Source organism: Homo sapiens, chromosome X (assembly GCF_000001405.40).
Source record: "Homo sapiens chromosome X, GRCh38.p14 Primary Assembly".
In the NCBI taxonomy this organism is placed as follows: domain Eukaryota; kingdom Metazoa; phylum Chordata; class Mammalia; order Primates; family Hominidae; genus Homo; species Homo sapiens.
The window spans coordinates 1708512-1712503 of NC_000023.11; the positions used below are offsets into that span (position 1 = coordinate 1708512).

The 3992-nt window shown below is 40.9% G+C and overlaps 1 annotated feature.

Annotated features, from left to right (window-relative positions):
- Window positions 739–1238: an enhancer, noted in NCBI's record as "H3K4me1 hESC enhancer chrY:1778143-1778642 (GRCh37/hg19 assembly coordinates)". NCBI's record gives its function as "activates a minimal SCP1, AML or CMV promoter by ChIP-STARR-seq in naive H9 embryonic stem cells {active_cell/tissue: H9 hESC(naive)}" and the evidence as "EXISTENCE:reporter gene assay evidence [ECO:0000049][PMID:30033119]".

Here is a 3992-nt window from a genome sequence, read left to right on the forward strand (position 1 = left end):
CATTTCATCTTCCATCGCTGATACCCTTTCTTCCAGTTGATCGCATCGGCTCCTGAGGCTTCTGCATTCTTCACGTAGTTCTCGAGCCTTGGTTTTCAGCTCCATCAGCTCCTTTAAGCACTTCTCTGTATTGGTTATTCTAGTTATACATTCTTCTAAATTTTTTTCAAAGTTTTCAACTTCTTTGCCTTTGATTTGAATGTCCTCCCGTAGCTCAGAGTAATTTGATCGTCTGAAGCCTTCTCTCAGCTCGTCAAAGTCATTCTCCGTCCAGCTTTGTTCCGTTGCTGGTGAGGAACTGCATTCCTTTGGAGGAGGAGAAGCTCTCTGCTTTTTAGAGTTTCCAGTTTTTCTGTTCTGTTTTTTCCCCATCTTTGTGGTTTTATCTACTTTTGGTCTTTGATGATGGTGATGTACAGATGGGTTTTTGGTGTGGATGTCCTTTCTGTTTGTTAGTTTTCCTTCTAACAGACAGGACGCTCAGCTGCAGGTCTGTTGGAGTACCCGGCCGTGTCAGGTGTCAGTGTGCCCCTGCTGGGGGGTGCCTCCCAGTTAGGCTGCTCGGGGGTCAGGGGTCAGGGACCCACTTGAGGAGGCAGTCTGCCCGTTCTCAGATCTCCAGCTGCGTACTGGGAGAACCACTGCTCTCTTCAAAGCTGTCAGACAGGGACATTTAAGTCTGCAGAGGTTACTGTTGTCTTTTTGTTTGTCTGTGCCCTGCCCCCAGAGGTGGAGCCTACAGAGGCAGGCAGGCCTCCTTGAGCTGTGGTGGGCTCCACCCAGTTCGAGCTTCCCGGCTGCTTTGTTTACCTAAGCAAGCCTGGGCAATGGCGGGCGCCCCTCCCCAAGCCTCGCTGCCGCCTTGCAGTTTGATCTCAGACTGCTGTTCTAGCAATCAGCGAGACTCCATGGGCGTGGGACCCTCCGAGCCAGGTGCGGGATATAATCTCCTGGCGTGCCGTTTTTTAAGCCGGTCTGAAAAGCGCAGTATTCGGGTGGGAGTGACCCAATTTTCCAGGTGCCGTCTGTCACCCCTTTCTTTGACTAGGAAAGGGAACTCCTTGAACCCTTGCGTTTTCGGAGTGAGGCAGTGCCTCGCCCTGCTTCGGCTCGTGCATGGTGCGCGCACCCGCTGACCTGCGCCCACTGTCTGGCACTCCCTAGTGAGATGAACCTGGTACCTCAGATGGAAATGCAGAAATCACCATCTTCTGCGTCGCTCATGCTGGGAGCTGTAGACCGGAGCTGTTCCTATTCGGCCATCTTGGCTCCTCCGGCTGTATAACATATATTAATGTAAACTCTAGTATAAACATGTATATACTAGTATAAACTCATGTATATACTAGTATAAACTCATGTATATACTAGTATAAACTCATGTATATACTAGTATAAACTCATGTATATACTAGTATAAACTCATTAGTATTTGTATAATATATATTAGTATAATAAATTAGTGTAAACTCATTAGTATAAGCTCATATATAGTAGAAAAACCCATTACTATTTGTATAATATATATTAGTATAATAAAGATATAGGTATAAACTTATTAGTATAAACATATATGCTAATATAAACTCAGTATAAGTGTAATATATATTAGTATAATATCAACATAAACTAGCAGAAACTAATATATATACTAGTATAAACTCATTAGTATTTGTATAAGTATAATATACATTAGTGTAAACTCATTAGTATAAACTCGTATAGTAGAATAAACCCATTACTATTTGTATAATATATATTAGCATAATAAATATATAGGTATAAACTCAGTATAAACATATATGCTAATATAAACTCATTAGTATAAGTGTAATACATATTAGTATTATAAATATCAACATAAACTCTAGTAGAAACTAATATATGTACTAGTATAAACTCATTAGTATTTGTATAATATATATTAGTATCATAAATATATATTACTGTAAACTCATTAGTATAAACTCATGTATATAGTAGAATAAACCCAGTAGTATTTGTATAATAATATTAGTATAATAAATATACATTGTTATAAACTCATTAGTATAAACATATATAGTAGTATAAACTCATTAGTATTTGTATAATATATTAATATGATAAATTAATATACCAAATATACCAATAAAAATTGGTATAAATTCATTAGTATAAACTCATATATACTAGTATAAACTCAGTATCTGTATATTAGTATATATTATAAACTCATAAACACATATACTAGTATAAACTCATTAGAATTTGTATTATATATTAATAGTATAAACTCCTATATATACTAGTATAAACTCAGTATTTTTATAATATAAATATGTTAGTAGAAACTCATCAGTGTAAAGTCATCTAAATTAGTATAGTAAATATATACTAGTGTAAACTCATGGCTATCTGTTAACAAACAGGAAGGTACAGAGCTGATGTCTTGAGCTAGCTGGAGATTGCCTTCCGTGGTGGGTTATAACCCAGTACTATCCTTAGCTATTTTTAATTTTTATTTTTATTTTACTCTGTGGCCCAGATGGTTTAAGTCTTGCCATTGGTTGGTCTTGGGAAGATCTTCCAGACTGGCTGCGGCATTGTGACCTGTGCAGTGTCCCTCATTTTGAGTTTTTCTGATGTTTTCTCATGGTTAGAGGGAGGCTTTGCATTTTTGGAAGTCCTCTGTTTGTTAGGATGTCAGTGTAAGGCGATGTTACCATGATGTCTACACACTCTTTTTTTTTTTTTTTTTTTTTGGAGACGGAGTCTCACTCTGTCACCCAGGCTGGAGTGCAGTGGCGCAATCTCAGCTCACTGCAAGCTCCTCCTCCCAGGTTCACGCCATTCTCCTGCCTCAGCCTCCCAAGTAGCTGGGACTACAGGCGCCCGCCACCACACCCGACTAATTTTTTGTATTTTTAGTAGAGACGGGGTTTCACCGTGTTAGCCAGGATGGTCTTGATCTCCTGACCTCGTGATCCACCTGCCTCAGCCTCCCAAAGTGCTGGGACTACAGGCGTGATCCACCGCACCTGGCCCTGTCTACACATCTTGACATCTTGTTTCTAGTGATGTTAATCTTGATGGTGAAGGTGGTATGTGCTGGAAATAATCAATGGGTTGGGGGGTATAGACTTGAAGACTATATGCAAATGTCCTGTTTCTTTTTCTTTTCTTTTCTTTCTTTTTTTTTTTTTTTTTTTTGAAAACGAGTTTTGCTCTGTCGCCCAGGCTGGAGTGCAATGGGATGATCTCAGCTCACTGCAAACCTCCGTCTCCCTGGTTCAAGCGATTTTCCTACCTCAGCCTCCCAAGTAGCTGGGATTACAGGCCTGTGCCACCACACCTGGCTAATTTTTGTATTTTTCGTAGAGACGGTTTCACAATGTTGGCCAGGCTGGTCTCAAACTCCTGACCTCAGGTGATCCACACACCTCGGCCTCCCAAAGTGCTGGGATTATAGGCGTGAGCCACTGTGCCTGGCCTTCCCCTCCCTCCCTCCCTTCCTTTCTCTCTCTCTCTCTCTCTCCTTCTCTTTCTCTCTCTCTTTCTCTCTTTCTGTCTCTCTTTTTCTTTCTTTCTCTTTCTTCCCCTCACACCCGTCTCTTCTTATTTTTTTTTTGAGATAGGGCTCTCTCTGTCACCACCCAGGCTGTAGTGCTGTGGCCCAATCTCGGCTCGCTGCAGCCTTGACCTCCGAGGCTCAAGCAATCCTCCCACCTCTCAGCCTCTCAGGTCTCTGGGACCACAGGTGCATGCCACCATGCCCAGCTAATTTTTTTTTTTTTTTTTTTTTTTTTTTTTTTTGTAGAGACAGGGTCTTGCTATACTGTCTAAGCTGGTCTTAAACTCCTGATCTCAAGCGATCCTCCAGTCTCAGCCTCCCAAAGTGATGGGATTATGGTGTGAACCACCGTGCCCAGCCCTATTTCTTCTTAAACCTCTTCATCAGTAATTTTAACATTCACAGTGAATAAGAGATTTTTGATATTTATTCAGAGTGT